Genomic DNA, 23,312 nt, shown 5'->3' with positions numbered 1-23,312 from the left:
TAAAAATGAGTTGCTGGCATTTGAAAACTTTATTATGTATTTTTAACCTCCTTTTTCTCATCTACATTGTAATCATGAGAATTTTGATTTTAAGATGTATTACTTTGGAAGAAGTACAAAATGAGAACTGCTACTTTATTTATTGAATAACCATTAATTCAGTGTCAGTAAAGTTATTCTAAAAGTAATTTTTTTCTATCAACAAATATGGTAATGCTTTAAATATAATATTCTTAGGAAGATAATCTATAAACATCAGTAATTCAGACTATCCCTGGAAGACCCAGCATCATCTATCTTCAAGGAACAAGATAGAATACTTCATTTAAAAAATGTGTAGTCAGGCCAGGCACAGGTATGGTAGCTCACGCCTTTAGTCCCAGCACTTTGGGAGGCTGAGGCAGGTGAGCCCAGAGGTTCGCGGCTGCAGTGAGCTATGATTGCACCACTGCACTCTAGCCAGGTGACAGACCAAGACCCTGTCTCTAAAAAAAACCCTATAATATAATAAAAATCAGAAAAATGTACAGACAAGAAACATTATTTGTCAAGCAAAAGAAGTGACCTTTCAGAGCCTAAAACTTTTGAAGGATTAAAAAAGTACACCTTCTATAACCAGTAACACAGGCTTATGTAAGCTGAGAGAGGGATTTAGATATCTCACATCTTCCTCTACTCCTGCAAAAATATTTTGAAGTCCAATCTATATGAAAAAGTATTTTGCAAGCACAACCCGGGGAAGTATTACTTCACGGTCACTATTATGATGATTATCATCATTTATAATTATGAGATACTTATCAGGATCCAATAGCCTCCGGAGCACTTTATATTTGTTAATTTACTTAATAATTTCAACAAAATTTGTAGGGGTTACTATATTATTATTTCAATCTTACTGAACACATAGGTGGATGAAATAATTTCCCAAAGTCACATGGTTAGAAGGTAGCAAATTCTGAAACTTGTAGAAGTTGTTGAACTTCTTGTTGAAGTTGTTGAACTTGTAGAAGCAGAGAGTAGAATGGTGGCTGCCAAGGGTTGGAGGCTGGGGAAAATGGGGACATGTTGGTTAAAGGACATAAACGTTCAGTTATAAGGTGAGTAAGTTCTAAGGATCTAATATAGGATGGTGACTGTAGTTAGTAATACTGTATTGTTTATTTGAAATTTGCTGAGACAGAATCGTGTCATCACCACACACACATGCACAAAATGATGACTATGTGTGGTAGGTAATACACGTGGTAATATTTTCTCATTGTATACATATATCAAATTACCACATTGTACCCCTTGAATATATACTTTTTTTGGTCAACTGTACTTCAATGAAGCTGAAATAAATAAAATATATGCTTGCCGGGTGTTGAGCTCCTCCCTGCATCCAAAGTATGTTGAAATCTTAACCGTGGAACCTGAGAATGTGAAATTATTTGGAAATAGGGTCACTGCAGATGTTTCTAGTTAGGGTGAGGTCATCCTGTAGGAGAGTAGGTCTTTAATCCAATAGGACTGTGTCCTTAAAAAAGAAGAGCTGAAACACAGGAAGACGTGCAGGGAGAACCCATGTGGTGAGAAAGGCAGTGTTTAAAGGAAAGTGTCTACAAGCCAAAGTATTCCAAGGATTGCTGGCAACACAAGAAACTATGGGAAAGGTTTGGAAGGATTCTCCTCTAGAGGATTTGGAGGGAGCATGCCCTAGCTGACAAACTGATTTTATACATTTAGCCTCCAGAATTGTGAGAGAATAAATGTCTTTTGTTTCAGGCTAACCGGTTTGTGGGCCTTTATTACAGCAGCCCTAGGAAATTGATACAATGTTTTTAAGTGGCTTATTTGAATTAAAAATTAATAATGAATAATAGCCATTTAAAAATAAGGGCTAAAATAGCAGGTTCATTCTCAAATACCAGCCTTTAAAAAATAATTATAATAATGCATACATCCATTTATGCTGCTATAATAAAATGGATGAAACTGGATAGTTTGTAAATAATAGAAAATTATTTCTCACAGTTGTGGAGGCTGGAAAGTCCAAGGTCTGATGTCTGGTGTGGGCTGCTCCCTGCTTCCAAGATGGTGCCCTGTTGTTGCATCCTGCATAGTGGATAAATGTTGTGTCCTTGCCTAGGAGAAAGGATGGAAGGGGAAAAGGAGATGAACATTGTGTCCTCACATGGTGGAAGAGCAAAGGAGAACAAATTCACTCCTTTAAAACGTTTTATTCGGATTCTAATCCCATCCATGAGTGCCCGGCCCTTGTGACTTAATCACCCCTTAAGGTGTTACATTGGCCCCTTACGTTTTAACTATAAATTTTGGAAAACACATTCAGCCCATAGCATTCCTTTCCTGGCCTCAAAAATTCATGTCCTTCTCACATGGAAAATATATTTATTCCACCCCAATAGCCCCATAAATCTTAACTTGCTCCAGCATCTAAACGCCTAAGAGTCTCATCTAAATTAGATCGGAGTGAGACAAAAATTTCTCTCCAGCCGTGAGGCTATGAAATCACACGAGTTATGTGCTTCCAAAATATAATGAGGGAACAGGTGTAGCATAGATATCTTCATTCCAAAATGGGAGAAATAGGCAAGAAGAAAGAAGCAACAGGTCCCTAGCAATTCCAAAACCCAGCAAAGCAAACAGCATTAAATCTTGACGCTTGAGAATAATTTAATTTGACTCCTATCTTCTGGGAACAGTATCCTATCTCTGGAAACACTGGGGTGGAGATTTTGACACTCAGGCTCCAGGCAATCCTACTCCTATGGCTTTGCCGGGTGTAGCCCACACTGCAGTCTTCACGGTGTGGGGTCCAGTTTCTGTGGCTTTCAGGCTGGAGTTGCACGTCCGTGGCTCTATAGTTCTGGGGTCTCGGGAGTGACTCAGTGCTCATGACTCTGCCAGACATTGCACCACTGAAGACTCACTGTGGTTAACCTGACCCCATTACTATACTAGGTATTGCCCCAGTGGGGGTTCTCTGTGGTATCTCCAAACCTCTGGCCGTTCTCTACCTGGGCTTCGAGGCACTCTGAAGTATCCTTTATCATGGAGGTGGAGGCAGCCATGTCTTCACAGCTCCTGCACTCTGATCCCCTGCAGTTAGCACCATCAGGAGCTGCCAAGGTTTACCACTCATGCCCTCTAGAGCAGTGGCTCAAGCCACACCTGGGCCCACTTGAGCCACAACTGCTGTGGTCAAGGATTAGTGAATTAAAATGCAGGAAGCAGAGACTTGAGGTGGTCATGGGCAGTGAGACCCAAGGTCCAACAAGCACCTTGGGACCCTCCCTTGAAACTCCTCTATGCTCATGGCCCTGGCACCCTGGAACTCTGATGGGAATGGGAGCCTCAAAGATCTCTGAAATGCTTTAGGGGTCATTTTTCTTTTGTCTTGATGAATAATATTTGGCTTCTTTGTCTCCATTCTAAGGTTATTTTCAAATCCAGATGTTAGCTTGGCCACACCCTTGGTATTCTCTTCGAGACACACTTTTATTCTTCACAATGGTAAAGAATTATTCAAATCTTTAAGTATTGCTTCTTTTTTATTATAAATTCCATCTTTAATTTGTTTCTCCTCTCACATTTTATTATAAGCAGTCAAGAGAAACTATGAAACACCCTAAATATTTTGCTTAGAGATTTCTTCCACCAAATATCCTGGTTTATCACTCTTAAATTCTGCCCTCCACAAAGTGCAGTCTCCAACTTAAGACGGTTTGACTTACATGATTTTTTGACTTTATAATGATAGAAAAGTGATATTCATTCCATAGAAACTGTATTTCAAGTGCCCATAAAGTTTTTTTTTGTTTTTCACTTTTAGAATATTATTCAATAAATTACATTACCTATTCAATACTTTATTATAAAACAGGATTTGTGTTAGATGATTTTGCCCAACTGTTGGCAAATATAAGTGTACTGATCGTGTTTAAAGTTGGCGAGGCTAAGCTATGATGTTTGTTACTTTAGGTGTATTAAATGCATTTTTAACTTAATGATATATTTAACTTATGATTGGATATTTGAGACATAACCCCATTGTAAGTCAGGGAGTATCTGTACTTGGACATGGAAACAATTCAGCCAAGTTTTTTGGCACTTTGTAATGAGGATGGTCTTCCCTCTAGTTTCCAATATGATATTCCTCATTTTAGTCTGAGGTCACATCAGAATTACCTGTACCGTCCATATTTCTCCCAGCATTCTGATCCTGAGCATGTTAGATAATCTCTAGGAAGTCCGAGACTCTCTCTATAGCTCTCCTATTCTGAGCCCTCACCAGAGTCTGTCTCCCTTAATGATCCATTATGGCAATCTAGACTCTTTCTAGCATACACTTCAAAATTGTTCCTGCCTCTACCCATTACCACATTCCAAAGCTGCTTACACATTTTTAGGTATCTGTTATAGCAACACCTGACTTCTTGGTACCAATGTTCTGTATTAGTCCATTTGTTCTGCTACAAAAAAATACTTGAGACTGTGGAGTTTATAAGTAATAGAAAATTATTTTTCATAGGAAGTCCAAAACCAAGGTGCTGGCAGGTTCAGTGTCTGGGAGGGCGGCTCTCTGCTTCCAAGATGGTGCTATGTTTCAGCAGCCCCCGTGAAAGACACAAGCTATGTCCTCACATGGTGAAAAAAATGGAAGGGCAAGGGGGAGGAATGCTGTGCCCTCACGTGATAGAAGAGCAGAAGACTTTATAAGGGTCCTAATCCCATTCATGCAGTTTCCACCTCGGGACAATTAAAGACAGATCCCAGCTCTTTATACTGTTAGGCTGGCCCTAAGGCTTCACACCTGAATTTGGGGAGATGCCCTCAGTCCATAACAGCGTGTAATTTGAATGCATGTATAAAATTCCTTTACTATCTAATGATAGTTTAACTTTGGCACCAAATAATCACCACATAGTTTTTACAATTGCATAACTATAGTGACAGACACCCAAGTAATACCCAGTGTTCCTAATATTTAATCCATGTCATGTATTATAACAAAAGTTTTGTATAGTTACACTGAAACAATAAAGGATTCCTAAGGAAATTGTTATACAAATGAATGCTATTCACTAATCTTATTATGCATCATCTAAACTGTGGAGATAATTTTATTGCCCCAAAGCTTGACTACAATATTCTAAAATGTTTTGCTTTTTGAAATTACAGGGTTTAATAAAAGTCGATTAGCAAAATTAATAAACTAATTGATTTAATGTTCTGTATTCCTCAGAATAAATTTAAAACTAACAGCTTATTTAACAATGGAAATAATTTGAAACAACATCCTCTATGTATAGTAAATAGAGAAAAGGAAATGCACAGCTGTATGCAAATGCAACAAAAAATAGACTTCTTTGAATAAGCGGTTCAGTCAAAGTAAGGATAAATATTATACCAGGCCAGGGCAGTACACATGTATATTGTCATATTTATAGATAAAAATGAATACTGATATGATGAAAGATATAACATAAATATAGAATACATTGCATTGTTTTCGTGATTATTATAGCAGGCACCATTATTTACTATTCTATTCCAAGCTTGACTTTGTATCATTTCTGCTGTTATTATTTCCCATCTTTCAGAAATACTGTAACATACCAGTTAAGCCAATCTTGTCACTATTAAAATAACTTCAAAACTAATGGAAATGTAAAGGTTAAAAAGGGAAATAGGTTGCTTGCATGTGATTACCACCTTTCACTTAGCCTATTGAATCCGATGTGTTTTGGAAGGTCTCTAAACAGGTGATCATTTCTCTTTAACACTGTACTTAGAACAATAAATAATGCATAACATGCTTTAAAAATAAAAATTGCTTAAACAAGAGGAAATAAATTGTTCTTTTCTCATTAATTTAGCAAACTGTGAATGAGTCCCTTACTCTTATTAAGCAATGCGAGTTTAAAAATATACATCTTTATCACTGGCAATTCAATTAGATTCAACTCAATACAAGTCAGTTCAATCAAGTCAGCATTTATTAAGCAAGCAACCACATTTATCTATTTACTGTTAGAGAACAAATTATTCATTGTCCTCTCAATTATTCCGTGCTTTATGTTAAGGGTAAGCTGGACATACAAAAAACACTAGGGGCACAAAATGAAGGGACGTATGTGATAGATTCTGTTTATAAATGTTACAAGATTGTAGTGGAGGAAAAATCATTGACATTGAACCGAGAAAAATCTTGGTAGAAATTTGAATTTTGAACTATAAGAAACTGTATGGATTGAATTGAAATAAGTGTCTGTCATCTTGAGACAGATTACAATATATACTTTTAAGTTACCTAACAGTTTAGCCGTTAATATGTCTATCTCTAATTCATCTATAGGCAATATAGCCATTTAAATGGGTAGACATGAGATATCACATAGTAAAACTAGGTATTAATTTCCTGATTAAAACTAGATAGATAATAGATAAATAGATAGGACGATAGATAGCTTACAGATAAAGCTTAAAGGAAAAAATCCTTTTGACTCTTTAATTTTATTAGAGTTTATTTGAGAAATTAAAAATGAAGCAAAAGCCAAAGAAAACAAAGCAGAAACAAAACAAAACTGATATGCAAATCGGGCAGCTCTTAAAACCAAAACAAGTTCAGATAACTTCAGCTAACAACTTAATCTGACCTCATTTATAGAAAACAGAAGTGAGGTATTAAGACAACTTAGTTGGTTACAGCTTAATTGGTTAACTGGTTACAGAGACTCCTACATTTAACTAAACCCCAGCCACAGTGATTAAACTCTGTATTTAACTCATGTGTTTAACTTATTTGCCTAGTATACTATGTTATAAAAATGGTTAAACAGGAAAGTAAACTTTTAAAAGCCATTCCTAAATTATTTCTCACCCCTACTGGCTGGTCACTTAGCCAAACTTGCAGACAAAGAAAAGAAGAATTTGTGATTTCCAGGACAACTTATAAGTTTTGTTTCTCTATTTTTTTTTTTTTTACTTGCAAGTAGTGGAATCCTAAATCTTAAGAATTTTCTTATTTTATTTTTTATTTTATTATTATTATACTTTAAGTTTTAGGGTACATGTGCACAATGTGCAGGTTAGATACATATGTATACATGTGCCATGCTGGTGTGCTGCACCCATTAACTCCTAATTTAGCATTAGGTATATCTCCTAAAGCTATCCCTCCCCCCTCCCCCCACCCCACAACAGTCCCCAGAGTGTGATGTTCCCCTTCCTGTGTCCATGTGTTCTCATTGTTCAATTCCCATCTATGAGTGAGAACATGTGGTGTTCGGTTTTTTTTTCTTGCGATACTTTACTGAGAATGATGATTTCCAATTTCATCCATGTCCCTACAAAGGACGTGAACTCATCATTTTTTATGGCTGTATAGTATTCCATGGTGTATATGTGCCACATTTTCATAATCCAGTCTATCATCGTTGGACATTTGGCTTGGTTCCAAGTCTTTGCTATTGTGAATAGTGCTGCAATAAACATATGTGTGCATGTGTCTTTACAGCAGCATGAGTTATAGTCCTTTGGGTATATACCAAGTAATGGGATGGCTGGGTCAAATGGTATTTCTAGTTCTAGATCCCTGAGGAATCGCCACTCTGACTTCCACAATGGTTGAACTAGTTTACAGTCCCACCAACAGTGTAAAAGTGTTCCTATTTCTCCACATCCTCTCCAGCACCTGTTGTTTCCTGGCTTTTTAATGATTGCCATTCTAACTGGTGTGAGATGGTATCTCATTGTGGTTTTGATTTGCATTTCTCTGATGGCCAGTGATGGTAAGCATTTTTTCATGTGTTTTTTGGCTGCATAAATGTCTTCTTTTGAGAAGTGTCTGTTCATGTCCTTCGCCCACTTTTTGATGGGGTTGTTTGTTTTTTTCTTGTAAATTTGTTTGAGTTCATTGTAGATTCTGGATATTAGCCCTTTGTCAGATGAGTAGGTTGCGAAAATTTTCTCCCATTTTGTAGGTTGCTTGTTCACTCTGATGGTAGTTTCTTTTGCTGTGCAGAAGCTCTTTAGTTTAATTAGATCCCATTTGTCAATTTTGGCTTTTGTTGCCATTGCTTTTTGTGTATTAGACATGTAGTCCTTGCCCATGCCTATGTCCTGAATGGTAATGCCTAGGTTTTCTTCTTGGGCTTTTATGGTTTTAGGTCTAATGTTTAAGTCTTTAATCCATCTTGAATTAATTTTTGTATAAGGTGTAAGGAAGGGATCCAGTTTCAGCTTTCTACATATGGCTAGCCAGTTTTCCCAGCACCATTTATTAAATAGGGAATCCTTTCCCCATTGCTTGTTTTTCTCAGGTTTGTCAAAGATCAGATAGTTGTAGATATGCGGCATTATTTCTGAGGGCTCTGTTCTGTTCCATTGATCTATATCTCTGTTTTGGTACCAGTACCATGCTGCTTTGGTTACTGTAGCCTTGTAGTATAGTTTGAAGTCAGGTAGCGTGATGCCTCCAGCTTTGTTCTTTTGGCTTAGGATTGAGTTGGCGATGCAGGCTCTTTTTTGCTTCCATATGAACTTTAAAGTAGTTTTCTCCAATTCTGTGAAGAAAGTCATTGTTAGCTTGATGGGGATGGCATTGAATCTATAAATTACCTTGGGCAGTATGGCCATTTTCATGATATTGATTCTTCCTACCCATGAGCATGGAATGTTTTTCCATTTGTTTGTATCCTCTTTTATTTCATTGAGCAGTGGTTTGTAGTTCTACTTGAAGAGGTCCTTCACGTCCCTCGTAAGTTGGATTCCTAGGTATTTTATTCTCTTTGAAGCAATTGTGAATGGGAGTTCACTCCTGATTTGGCTCTCTGTTTGTTTGTTATTGATGTATAAGAATGCTTGTGATTTTTGTACATTGATTTTGTATCCTGAGACTTTGCTGAAGTTGCTTATCAGCTTAAGGAGCTTTTGGGCTGAGACAATGGGGTTTTCTAGATATACAGTCATGTCATCTGCAAACAGGGACAATTTGACTTCCTCTTTTCCTAATTGAATACCCTTTATTTCCTTCTCCTGCCTAATTGTCCTGGCCAGAGCTTCCAACACTATGTTGAATAGGAGTGGTGAAAGAGGGCATCGCTGTCTTGTGCCAGTTTTCAAAGGGAATGCTTCCAGTTTTTGCCCATTCAGTATGATATTGGCTGTGGGTTTGTCATAGATAGCTCTTATTATTTTGAGATACATCCCATCAATACCTAATTTATTGAGAGTTTTTAGCATGAAGGGTTGTTGAATTTTGTCAAAGGCCTTTTCTGCATCTATTGAGATAATCATGTGGTTTTTGTCTTTCGTTCTGTTTATATGCTGGATTACATTTATTGATTTGCATATATTGAACCAGCCTTGCATCCCAGGGATGAAGCCCAGTGGTGGATAAGCTTTTTGATGTGCTGCTGGATTCGGTTTGCCAGTATTTGATTGAGGATTTTTGCATCAATGTTCATCAAGGATATTGGTCTAAAATTCTCTTTTTTGGTTGTGTCTCTGCCTGGCTTTGGTATCAGGATGATGCTGGCCTCATAAAATGAGTTAGGGAGGATTCCCTCTTTTTCTATTGATTGGAATAGTTTCAGAAGGAATGGTACCAGTTCCTCCTTGTACCTCTGGTAGAATTCGGCTGTGACTCCATCTGGTCCTGGACTCTTTTTGGTTGGTAAGCTATTGATTATTGCCACAATTTCAGAGCCTGTTATTGATGTTGGTACCCAGGCAAACAGGGTCTGGAGTGGACCTCTAGCAAACTCCAACAGACCTGCAGCTGAGGGTCCTGTCTGTTAGAAGGAAAACTAACAAACAGAAAGGACATCCACACCAAAAACCCATCTGTACATCACCATCATCAAAGACCAAAAGTAGATAAAACCACAAAGATGGGGAAAAAACAGAGCAGAAAAACTGGAAACTCTAAAAAGCAGAGCGCCTCTCCTCCTCCAAAGGAAGTTTTGTTTCTCTTGACATAGCAGCCAAGATAGTGTGGGGTGGGAGTGGGAGGGTTCTGGATTGATAGCGTTTTGACTACAGTAACTAAAATCAAGCATTTTTTTGGTTTATGAGGATTAACTTCATCTAATCTCTCATGAAATCTTCCCAACATAATTGTTAAAAATGAGTAAATTAAATGAGATAAAGTGGAGTAAAATCTATAAATAAGTTTTTTAATAATAATGTTTTACAATATGTTTACTTAAAATTATTTCCTAATATCTTTGGTAATTACTTCATTAGAGTTTTGCTAAACCAGATTAAATAATGGATAGTCACTGCATATCTAGCTCATTTCCAAATAAAATATAATGCTAAATTTTAATTACTAACATAGGTTTAAACATATGTATTTTGGATTATTATTACAGAAAAGCAAAAAAAAATTTGAGTTTGTTAGTAAATATGTCCTGTTCAACATTTTAAAAGTTCTGTAAAAATCTATGTTTTTAGAAATTACAAAATATGTATTCATAAAATGTTTTGGTACATAATTATAATGGATTATTTCCTGGCTTTTTTATGGGAAATTAGAATTACTAAGAGTTAAACATATAATTAACCTATGTAATTAAAACGGCTAAAAATAAGGGACACAATTCTATACGCAATATGTACAAAAAAGGTTGTATCTTGGTAAGGAAGGTTATATTTGGTTGGTGCAAAAGTATTGTGATTTTTGCCATTAAAAGTAATTGCAAAAACTGCAATTACTTTTGCACCAAGCTAATAATAAGAATATAAGAATGTATTTTATTCTATTGAAAAAATAATTTTGTCCTGTTCCAAGTGCAGTGCCTGTTGAAACATAATTGTGTGAACTCAAGGAATGTTTTGAAACAGCTTTGACAATAATACCCTCCACAACATAGTGTAAGGCCCATTCCCAGAATGCCAACTAAGAATACCAATCTCAAATCTGTAAACATTTTTCCCTAGATTATTTTCTATAAATTATATAGTTAGGCTTCTCATATTCATGTCTGTGATCTACTTTGAGTTAATTTTTGTGTAAATACTAATGTCGGTGTCTAGAACCTTTTGTGTGTGTGTGTGTGTGTGTGTGTGTGTGCGCCTACATGTTCTGGCATCATTTGTTAGAAAGACTGTACTTTCTTCATTTAATATCTTTGCTTCTTAGGAAAAAAAAACCTGTTGGCCATATTTTTATACGTCTGTTTTTTGGCTCTATAATCTGCTTTGTTAATCCATTTGCCTGTTTTTTCACCAATACCATCCTGTCCTGATTATTGTAGCTTTATGGTGATTCTTGAAATTGGTCAGCCATCAGCTTTCTGAATATGTTCTTCTTCAGTACGTTGCTGGCTACTCTGGATCTTACATATTTCCTTATAAGTTACAGTCTCAGTCCATTGTCCATTGATATTCAGAATGTAACTTGCTGTTTTGTTTTGTTTTTTTGAGACGGAGTCTTGCTCTATTGCCCAGGCTGGAGTGCAATGGCGAGATCTCAGCTCACTGCAGCCTCTGACTCCCAGGTTCAAACAATTATCCCTGCCTCAGCCTCCTGAGTAGCTGGGATTACAGGCACCTGCCACCACGCCCAGCTAAGTTTTGTATTTGTTAGTAGAGATAGGGTTTCACCATGTTGGCCAGGTTGGTCTTGAATTCCTGACCTCAGGTGATCTGCCTGCATCAGTCTCCCAAAGTGCTGGGATTACAGGTGCAAGCCACCATGCTTGGCCAACCTACTGAAATTTTAATTGGCAGAGTTGAGACTATAGACCAAGTTGGAACGAATGAACATCTTAAAAATGTTGCTTCTTTATACAGAAAACCAATCGAAAAATAGAAAAGTAAGTTCTTTCCTATCAGTAATTGATTTAAATGAAAATGGATTAAACTTCCCAATAATTTAAATAGATTTGCAAAACGAGTATTACAACAAAGCAAACCAGGAACCAACTGTATGCTATTTATAAGTGAATAACTCTAGATATGAGGACACATATAAGTTGAAAGTGAAAGGATGGGAAACGATATTTCATGCAAGTAGTAATAAAAAGAGAATGCACATTTAAATTGTATTTTTACAATTTAAATTTAAATTTTAAAGTTTGTAAAAATACACTTTAAATACATTTTTAAAGTGTACTTATATTTCATTTATAATATGAATGAACTTCCTAGTAACTTCATGATGCAAACAGTGACAGAATTTAAGGGATAGTAGCTCTAAACTAATAGCTGAAGACTTCAAAAACCCTACTTTCCATTAAGAATAAAGAAATCAGACATAAGATTAATAAATACATAGAAAACTTGCACAAAAACATATATCAATTGGACTTCAGACATATACAGAACCCTCCATGTATGGAGACACAACAGAAATCTTAATCAATTCTTAGGAAGTTTAAATTATACAAAGTATTGTATCACAATGGAATGAAATGGGTGCTACCATGGTGACTGGCTGGTTTTCCTGAGTAGTGCCATATTAGAATCTCAGTGTTCCTTCATGCTTGTAGTACGTGGTACACTCAGTAATGCCTGACACCAGGTCACCTCTGGTGAGTGAACATCCACATTGTTGAACCCATGCACAACTTCTAACCGTGCCACATGGCCGTATTTTTCATACGGCAAGAATGGGCTGGTTAGGGAAGTAGGCTTAATAACATCCCCCAAACTAATCTACAATGTAATTATTAACTACAATTGAAATTACTACTGAATGAGCATTTTCACAAGTCATAGACCTATATTTACTCTATATTCATTCAGAGGTTAATACATGACACTTCTTCACCAGATCTTCTTATCACTAATTTTTCAATTGTATTTTTTCTAAATCTCTGACCACCCAGCCAAACAATTTTTCATTGGCCAAAATCAATATAGATCTATTTTCTATACATCTTGTTTTGCAGGAAAAAAAAAAAAACAGGTCCACTGCTAGACGTTCTGACCATTGGGATGATTTCCCTTCAGCACCATCATTCAGGGCTACTGTTATCTGAATTATAATGTTGAAGATGTCCACTTTGGGGTATATGATAGTGGAGAAATATTTCAAATCCAGATCTGAATATTTTCTTCTTTAATGAGCTGCTGATTGAAAACTTTCTTTGAGGCAAGATGTACGTGTGTATTATAAAAAAAGGACAATATGACTGAGATGCAACATCTTGTGATTTTGAACTACTTTCATGTGCAAATTGCTTGTACCTTTAGAAACTGCTTTAGTCCATTATTGTATATACCATTTTACTTGAGCATGAAGAGCTATTCTCCACATCCAATTTTATGACTCAGTAGATCAGATTACATCAAATTCGTGATATAAAACTCAGCTTAAATGACAACTTGAATACCATGCTCAATGAGCCAGTGTTAAAGATTTATGCATGTCAGCTCATTCTGATTATTGACTTGGGACTCATTCCCATTATGGTTACTACGACTACCATGTCTTTGGCAGATCAGATATATCCTGCCACTTGACCTCTGCTACACATCCCAATATCCACATTAAACTCCGAAAGCTCTGTTTTTATGGCAGCATTTTAGTGTTACCTCTAGCCTTACAGTGAATTATCTGCACAGATCACTTTAAGGACATCAGCATTGTCTTCCTCAACATATCTCCCAAAGCCTTGATGAAAAGAATCTCTCCTGGACATTTCCAGAGTAGATGGTGGGTGAGTGAGCAGATCTTATGTAATAAATTTTCTTCTATATTCAATATCCTTAAAGTTTTCAACATCTTCCTCTACCAGGGAAGAATACTTATCATCTCAACTTCCTGCTAAGTAGAACACCTTAGAGTACATATTTATGTAAACCAGTTGAGGACAATGGTAAAGCAGCTTCCATCCTCTCAAGCTAAGACATTAAATCCTAACTCAATTGATACATATATGTGATCCAATATTATATCACTTCCATCCTTATATAACATCTGTAAGATCCAATTCCCTACATATTTCCAGGTCTCAATGAATACACATTGGTAAATTTTAATTGTTTTGATGTGTTTTCTCCCTTCTCGTTAGTTATATTTGGTACCAAGAAGTTGCAGAGAGTAATAGGTTGATAAATGAGAGTTCATTGTGATATTGTGGAGAATCAGCAGCCACCTGCAAAATAAACACCTCAAGAGAAATCATTGCAGGTTTGTCAAGAAAGAAGGGCAGTATATTTAACAGGGGAAGAAAGGCTATTGTTGAGGGCAAAGAGGTGTGGTAGAGTGTTCAGGGTCTTAGCTTCATTGAAGTCTGCTCAGATGACCTGATCCCAGTTTTCAGATCAGTGTCATAACTTCACATAAGAAACTATGTGCATTAAATACCCAGTACTGTGCATTAAATTGGAATGTAAATTCAGCAACCCACAGAATTAGACTGGGTTTTGTTTTTCAGAATGATTCTGTGACAACAGGATGTAATATTTATTTTGGAGCTATTTAAAAAGTTTCATAGTATCTTACCCAGACGTTCCTTTCAAATTTAAATTCGAATTTAAATTTAAATTCCTGAGTTCCTTATTTCCTTTTTACCAAATTCTACACTACTCTTTGAAGCAACCAACAATTCAGAGAATTTTTATACTTTTTATTTCTACTAAAATGTACTGTGACAGCTAGGAAGTCACCCAGACCTTGCATTCTGTAAGCATGTGAGTGATTATTAAGGCCTACATTCAGAACTGGTTCAGCATTCATTTCTTCTGCATAGTATCAGTTAAATGAGTTACAGGACAACCACAATTGAGGTTGGGAAGAAACACACTCCAACTGTTGATAGAAGGAGCTGAAAAGTTACCAAGCAAAGAAGCTTGGCTATCAGGAGGGGATAAATAATTTCTTTTTTTTTTCAAATAACCTAACACAATAAGAAAATTAATTGACCTAACAGCGAATGGTTGTATTTGTCCCATTTATCATTCTATTGACTCTACTCACTGTAACTAGATATTAACATTCCTCAGGGTACATAATAGATCATATTTGTTTTTAGACACCTGACCTCTAGCATAGTTCTTAGGAGATGGCCATTAACCAATTTCTTCAATGAGTAATTTATTGAATAATGATTTTTTTTTCTATTCTTATTAGGAAAACTAAGTCTAACGTGGAAAAAAATTAGATATTCAGTCAAAGACACTCGTAGCCCTTTTAAAATGACTAAATCAGATTTTTACTGTGTGCAACAAGTTATCTTATGTTAGAAAATAATTATTTAGTCCTGTTTTTAAAAAGCTGTGTCTGATAGTGACAGCTAGAAATGCACAAACTTTGTCAAACAGTTCCTGCTTCAGTCTACCTACAGGTACAATGCATGACCCCAACTTTGGATACACACCTAAAATATAAAACATCTGCTTGTCTATTTTCATGATTTAAGAGCTCAACATTTTGAAAATCAGATTACTCAGTGCTTGGAGAGCCACAAATAAATATAGGCTTACTTAGTATAGAAAAGAATGTTCTTTCCTAAATTCTTCCACATGAAACATTCTATTCTAAAATAATATCCTCAAGAAATTAAAAGTAGCAACTAAAACTTGAGGTTAATTAATATTTTAATGATTAGTTTTAAATAATTCCGAGGGAGGAGGCCAGCAGGACTTGTTTTCCGGTTCTGTCTCCATGATTGAAGCAGGAGCTGGTGGAAATAGGATGCAGTGAAGAAACCACACCAGTAGGTGGTGACAAAAGCAACCTCAATTTGCCCTCACTGCTCATTAGAATAAAGGTACAGTGCCGTGGCCACTTGCCTTATACTGCACAGAAGTTATCTTATATGGTTATGGAATTTCCCGCCCCTTTTCCAGAAAGTTCTGAATAATGCCTCTCAATGAGCATATAATTAAAAGCAGATATAAATACAGCTGCCAACAACCCCATAGACTGCTGACTCTGGCCACACTGCCTGTGGGTTAGCCCTGCTCCTCAAGGAGCAGTACTGATTCAATAGAAGTTGCTTTCTGTCACGTCAGCTGGCCCTTGAATTCTTTCCTGGGTGAAGAGAAGGACCTTCCTACCTGCATCAGTTCCAAGTTCTCACATAAAACAGCAGCAAATAAACTGCTTAAGATGAAATTGGCAGGCCGCGGTGGCTCACGCCTGTGATCCCAGCACTTTGGGAGGCCGAGGCAGGCGGATCACGAGGTCAGGAGATGGAGACCATCCTGGCTAACACGGTGAAACCCCGTCTCTACTAAAAATACAAAAAATTAGCCGGGTGTGGTGGCGGGCGCCTGTAGTCCCAGATACTTGAGAGGATGAGGCAGGAGAATGGCGTGAACCCGGGAGGCGGAGCTTGCAGTGAGCCGAGATCGCGCCACTGCACTCCAGCCTGAGCGACAGAGCCAGACTCCTTCTCAAAAAAAAAAAAAAAAAAAAAAAAAAAGATGACATTATTGTTACAATTACATATATGCACAAAAACAAGTGCATTGTGTGTGTGTATGTGTGTTATCCATATTCATACGGGGTATTTCATGAAAGAAACAAAATAAGCAATGTTTTTGAAACTAGATCTAAATGAGTTGGCACTTTATAATCTAGACTTTGAGCATTTTGAATATTTAGTCCAAGTTACTCTTTAGTTAGCAAACTGTAAATGACAGTCTGTAAAGTTAAAATACAAAATACAAGTGGTTCCAACCTGAGAAAAGTATAATTTTAGAAATATAGGTATATAATTTCAAGTCTAAGTATAATTGAGTTCTTTGAAAAGGTGAGCTAATGCTGTCACCATGCATCCTGTACAGGCTACAGAACCATGAGCTAATTAAAACTCTTTTCTTTATAAATTACCCAGTCTCAGGTATTTCTTTATAGCAATGCAAAGATGGACTAACACAATTGTACACACTTTTATTTGAAAACAAAAAGGCAAAGATTGTTTAAAACCAATGGGAATGATAAAACACTGTAAGTAAACTTATTTTAACAAATGCCATATATAAGGGCCATTCAATTTTTTTATTAAAAAAATAAATTTTACTTGGGAGGCTGAAGCGGGTGAATCACCTGAGGTCAGGAGTTTGAGACCAGCCTGGCCAACATGGCCAAACCTCGTTTCTACTAAAAATATAAAAACTGGCCAGGTGTAGTGATGTGTGCCTGTAGCCCCAGTTTTCAGGAGGCTGAGGCAGGAGAATCGCTTGAACCTAGTGGGCCAGAGGTTGCAGTGAGCTGACTTTGCGCCAATGCACTGCAGCCTCGGGAACAAAGTAAGACTGTGTCAAAAAAAAAAAAAAAAGAAAAATTACTAAACAGAAAGCTTTGCTAAAAGACCTTCTCTGATACTGAATTATCTGTGAAGGTAATAGTGTTTATAATGTGAACTAAGTCTTCTGCAGTCACCTGTGACATCAACAATGATCCATGGAGACTTTGAGCAGATTCTCTACTATGTAAGCAGCTGGGAAAATGACAGAGGACAAGTTTCAAATGTCATATTTTACCTTTGTTTGCATTGAGAAAAATTCATTGAAATCCACCTGTATAGCATCTTCGTGAATTCCTATACTTAAAATAAAATTGGAAGCAAAGGTAACATCAAGAAGCTTATTTTATTACTAGAATGTTGATGTTTATTACAATAATTGGCTTAGTCTTCTTAAAACCAGTTAACAATAGGCACAATGGTTCTGTTACATGAATATACATTTAATGTTTTGGCTTCATTTATTTTTCTAAATTTTCCATATTTATTATAAGCACAATATCTCTACTATACTCATGTATAAAATGGCAAATAATTAAAAACAGATTCTTAAATATATTTATATAAAATGTTTTATATTTAAGAGAGTCATTCCTAATTTAATTTCTATGTATGAACTATTGGAAGGTAACTGAGAAATTAATAAGCATTAACAAAATTGAGTCAAATGTTTCCTATTAATAGTAACTTGATTTAAAACAAACATGTTTAGATTTCATATTTTTGAAATATTCAAATATTAGTACCATAGTGGGTGATAACAAAATTGCTCCTCTGAAGATGTGAAGGAATCATAAATATTATGATTTATGTAAATGCTAGAATGGAGATGTGAGAGAAAATTGCTAGTAATTCAATATTGAGATGAATACATGAAGTCCAAATAAGTCATCAATAGCTATATACAGGGAGAAATATCATGTGTTTAATAGATTCTATTTGAAAGCTAGATTGAGCCCAGTATACTCAGTTAAGTCTCTTAAACTGCTTTACCTTCAAAAAGGATAGTATCTACTCTGCAGGACTGGGTAGATTAAAAAAATACTGAGCGAAGCCACTAAGTGCTACGACGTGGGCTTCCATCCAGTGATTTTGGTATTTGTGTAGTATGTGTTCCATGTTGAAATGTGTCTGCATTAACGCTTGTCATCCTTTGTAATTCTTACAGTTCTTCCCCCAAATTACAAGGAATGGAGGCTGGGAAACTACATTTCTGAGACTCCTTCATCATCAGGATGCCAGATAATATTTTAAGTAAGGAAAATAAAATTAACTTTTCTGGGGCGAGATGACAGACGAATGTGCAAAGGCTTTCCTGTTTTCAAGAAGCAGTTTCTTACACTATGCTTTTTATTCACGTTAAATGAAATTCTATTAGAATAAATTGTATCATGAGTTTTTAAATAAAATATTTAATGATTTTTCACATCTCTCCATCTGACTGTTGAGGGTCAGAAGAGAGAATATCATTCTGCTTGTATAAGAAAGGACTGGACGCATTTCTATCAAATGTAAGTTCTCAGTAAATGTTAATTGGCTTACAATAAGTTACAACAGCATTGTGGAAACTAAATAAAATCATATCACCTTTTCTTGGAGTAAATTCTATGAAACGTAAATGCTCCATATGCATAAATCCTGGGTTAAAGTACTTTAAGAATATGCAGTTCTTCTTTAAGTTCTGCATTGCTATAAAATCTGCCTAGAAATTACAGTAAGAATGGCTTTCATTACCACAATGACATTGAAGGGTTAAATCTTTATTTCTCTCTGTGCGTGATTAAAATATAATATTGATTTAATAAGGAAATAAACTTATTTGATTAAAGTATAAAAATGGATTATGAATCATCTTATTTTAATTATATATGATAAACAAAATCCCTCAGAAAAATATTTCCCTAAATATTACCCTGGGTATTATTGCTTAATTTAATTAATACTTTTATATAGTATGGAGATAATTTTATTATCACATACATTTATTATGATTTATATTAAATTTATATGCTCTCTTTAGTAAGGGATGTTATGAAATTCCAGATATATGTACCATCAAACACTGATTGTAATATTTGGTTTAAAAATGCCACAGAGATTACTGAATAAACTTAATAATTAAATGCTATGCTTAGGATTTGGAATCAAGGAAAAGGTAAATAATTTTTTTGTTTTATTAACACTTAAAGGAATCTTGTTTTATGTCAGAAGAAAAGTAATTTTAATATTCACGGATATATACTTGATATGTTTGCATTAACAATATGGAAAATATATGTTTTTTAAATAACAAGTTTTGATTTTAAGAATGTAATGATTATTGGAAATAGTTTTGGAGATAGTATTTATGTTGTCGTTATATGTTGTACTTTTTTTCATTTGAGTTTGTTATCAATACAGGTAGTTATAATTTTAAACATTATTTTTTGACCCATTTATAAATCTACTACCCATTAGTTCTTTTACAGTGAACTGAAAACTTGGTTTTCATATTTTGCCTGAGGTATGGTAATATACCCAATGAGGGGTGCTTACGGCTACAAGTTTCAGTTCCCAAATGACAAGCTGGGTTCCCTTGACCTGTTTACCAGCGAGAAAAATGTATTTATTAATGCAGTTGTTAACAGGCAAACTTAAAATGCGTTAGCCTTAACATTTATCTTTGGAGCTTTACATAAACAAAAATATATAAATAAAAGTGGTGTTCATTTTTGTAAGTGGACATGAAGTGCAATCTTCTATAAATGCTTTTAGCACGAGTCGGTAAAAAACTGTGTTTTCACTAAAATATGATTCATAAACATTAATTGAAAATATATACTTCTATCTCAGATACGTAGGTAAAAATATTCTGGACTATACTGTAAACCACATTTAGTGAACACAAAATTCAACCCTGATCATAAGCCAGTGTATGTCAGAACTGTCTGGAGTTCTTTACCTCAGCAAATAATTACATTGACCTTTTTAAAAATTTTAATCCTGTGCATTGACCACATCCCGAACAACCACTCTATGTTACATTTGATATTATACCTAGCACAAATATGTAAGAAACAATATAAGACATGGATCAAACCCTCCTGGTAATCAAAATCCTTAAAAATAGTTGCCCTATCAAATGAAAGTTGTTAGTTCTGATAAGATAATTTTGCCCTATCCAATTAAAAAGACAATACAAGAGTGTGAGTCTGAGTATTAAAAATTGTACCAAATAAAATATTTGTTTCTATCTACATGTTAGATCTTAATAATGAATTCATAGCTTGATCACTACCTTTTCATGTTCAGACAACTTGATATTATAGAGTCACAGTAAAGATTTCAATTAAACATTCTTTTAAGTAATTTTTCTACGTGAATTTATACAGATGATTGATTAAAAATAGATTTCTGGAAACCTGACAGTCACTTCCCTCCGGCTCTTCACAGATCCACTCTGTTTTTCCTATAAATGAAAACTTAGATATGGTCCAGCTGAAAGTTTCTATTTTTATTAACTTTAAATTTGTACTACAGAAAGATCACAGATGTATTGATATTGCTTACTATTTTATTAGATGATTATAAAATGGGCATTATAAAATATTGATATGTATTTAAAAATGATTGCTGACATTTTTAAAAATTGCCATCGCAATAGGTTTTTATTGCTGCTGCAGTCAAAATGTGGACTTTGATTGACATTTTCCAGGAAGAGAATTGTGAGAAGAATAATTGGATATTCTGTAACATTGTTCTAAGAACTGTTAGCTCTGTTGCATTTTCTTGGTTTGACATTTTGCAAAATCCTACTGTCTTCATTTGCAAGGTAGAATGGAAAGTTTATGGAGACTTGGGCAACTTTCCTATGAAATCTGCCAATTAAATAAACAATTGAGATTGGAATGAGTGTGGCTTTTAATACGTTAGACAGAAAAAAAGAAGGAAACAATCCAAAAGTGTGAGCAGTTCTTTATCAGCTCCTAGAAAGCAACTTGTTCTTGGGAGTTGGAATTTCTTTTGTTTTATCTCTGTAATAAGGCTTTCGTTTGAATTATATTTTATTTATAATAAAACTTCCTTCTATGTGTGATGTTACAAAATGTTAAATATAAATATGACTAATACATTAACAGTGTAGTCAACACCAACAATGTCAGTTTCACATAATTTGACTTCTATGATATATTTCCTTTACATTCAGTTTAAAATCCAAGCCCAAGAAACATGTATTGTGTGTACAATTTACGCTAAACTTTATGTTGAATTCTGAAGACAAAACGATACATATGGCAAGACTCCTGCTCTCAAAGCATCTCACTTCTAGTTGGGAGGAAGAAAGTTGGCAGTAAATACACTGGATGGTAAGCAGGAAGCGCCTCACACAGGGAGAAACATTGTGCTATAATTGAGAAAATATGGGATGTTTAATTATATTATAATAACATTATTTTTATTATATGAACAATGTTTCAAAGTATTTGCTTTCTGAGGTAACAATTTTTGTTGCAGAGTAATTCAAAGCAAAAAAAAATGGGTGAGTGATACAAACGCAGGCAAATATAATGTAGTCTCAAATATTTAATCATTGCTTACTCATAATCATCAACACAATTCTCCATTTTCATGATAGTATCTTATTAAAACAGAAATCGATGAAGTCAACATAAAGTGTTCTAATTTATTTAGACTACAAATTACTACAGGTCCACTTCCCTAAATGATACATTTTTAGACTTAGAATAACAGGTAAGTGCAAAAAATAATCCACTGATTTTATTCAGTGGGGTGTGAAATGGAGTACACTTGATCAGTTCTCAATATGGATGCCAGAAGACCTTTGCTCACTAATTTCTTCCTCATCATAATTCAAAGAGTGTGTCGTGTCAACCTGCTTCAGATCTTCTACAGGCTAAATAAACATTATGAGGACATTGTAGAACTTTTACCTGTAGTGGATGGAGGAGGGCATAAAAAAAGGAACACCTTTTCTTTGAAAGGAAATTAAATAATGCATGAGAGGGCTAATGATTTTGCTGAGTACCAGTACAATACTTCCCAAGAGATTCCACCATATTAGAAATTATTTGATTGTATTCTATACCCCTGTCTACTAGCCTGGTGAGGGACAAATGTAGGAGAATGAAAATACTACCTGTAATATGCAGCAAAACCTGTGTTATGTTGGTCCAACAGGCTTTAGTTTAAGGTAAAAATAGCTCTCTATTTGTTTTCAAATATGACTTTTAAAATGAATCTAAGAATTGCATAAATTCAACCAATTTTTTAAAGTGGAGGCTTTGGCTGGGTGCAGTGGCTCACGGCTGTAATACCAGCACTTTGGCAGGTGGAGGTAGGAGGATTGCCTGAGTCCAGGAGTTGAAGGCCAACCTAGGCAACATAGGGAGTGACCCCATCCCTACAAATAATACCAATAATAAATTACCTGGGTATAGTGGCATGAGCCTCTGGTCCTAGCTACTCAGAAGGCTGAGGTGGGAGGATTGCTTGAGCCTAGGAACTTGAGGCTGCAGTGAGCTGTGATCGTGACACTGTGTACTCTATCCTGGGTGACAGAGCAAGAGTTTGCCTTAAAAAACAACAGTAACAAAACAGTCAAAGATTTGGCAGAATGAGAATATGACCACCATGTATCTACTGATGTCATTATTATGTCATAATGAAACATTTGGGTTTTCTCAAGTATAGCACCATGCGCTAGGCTCTCCACACATCCCGTTCTTCACCTTTATCAGATACAATACTTACCACCTGGTATACTTACTGCCAAATTTCTTCCTGCCAACTAGAAGTGAGACACTTTGAGAGCAGGAGTTTTGTCATATTTTTCATTGTGTTTCCAGAATTCAACACAAAGCTTAGCATAAATTATACACATGTACTGTTTTGAAGATGTATTTAGCATGCCACAGGTATTAAGTATCCTTCAAAATTTTACAAAAAATTTTTTGTACAAATGAGATGTTGAGAAATGTTCTCCATGAAAACCAATATTATGGATGCTTAAAATTAATTTTCATCAAAGTTGTCAAATATTATATTAATTTATCATCAAAGTTAATATTACTGTCTTCATCTTATAGATGAGAA

General features: G+C 35.3%; 2 long non-coding RNA genes across 2 annotated transcripts in view; one reads left to right on the top strand and one right to left on the bottom strand.

Moving 5' to 3' along the window:
• Positions 1-893: 893 nt before the first annotated feature.
• Positions 894-22,744, bottom strand: LOC105376873 (uncharacterized). The gene is made up of 3 exons (XR_935614.2): positions 22,648-22,744; positions 2,018-2,130; positions 894-1,048 (listed from the first exon to the last, which is right to left on the bottom strand). It is a non-coding gene; the product is annotated as an uncharacterized LOC105376873 (long non-coding RNA).
• LINC01899 (long intergenic non-protein coding RNA 1899) overlaps positions 18,437-23,312 on the top strand; it is a 49,612-nt gene continuing 44,736 nt past the window's right edge. The window contains exon 1 of the long non-coding RNA NR_126324.1: positions 18,437-18,473. This is a non-coding gene — a long non-coding RNA (long intergenic non-protein coding RNA 1899). The remainder of the gene's footprint in view (positions 18,474-23,312) is intronic.

The sequence above is a fragment of the Homo sapiens genome, chromosome 18 (genome assembly GCF_000001405.40).
Source record: "Homo sapiens chromosome 18, GRCh38.p14 Primary Assembly".
Lineage (NCBI taxonomy): Eukaryota > Metazoa > Chordata > Mammalia > Primates > Hominidae > Homo > Homo sapiens.
The sequence above is the reverse complement of the archived record's forward strand: the minus strand, read 5'-3'. Positions and strand labels throughout refer to the sequence as shown.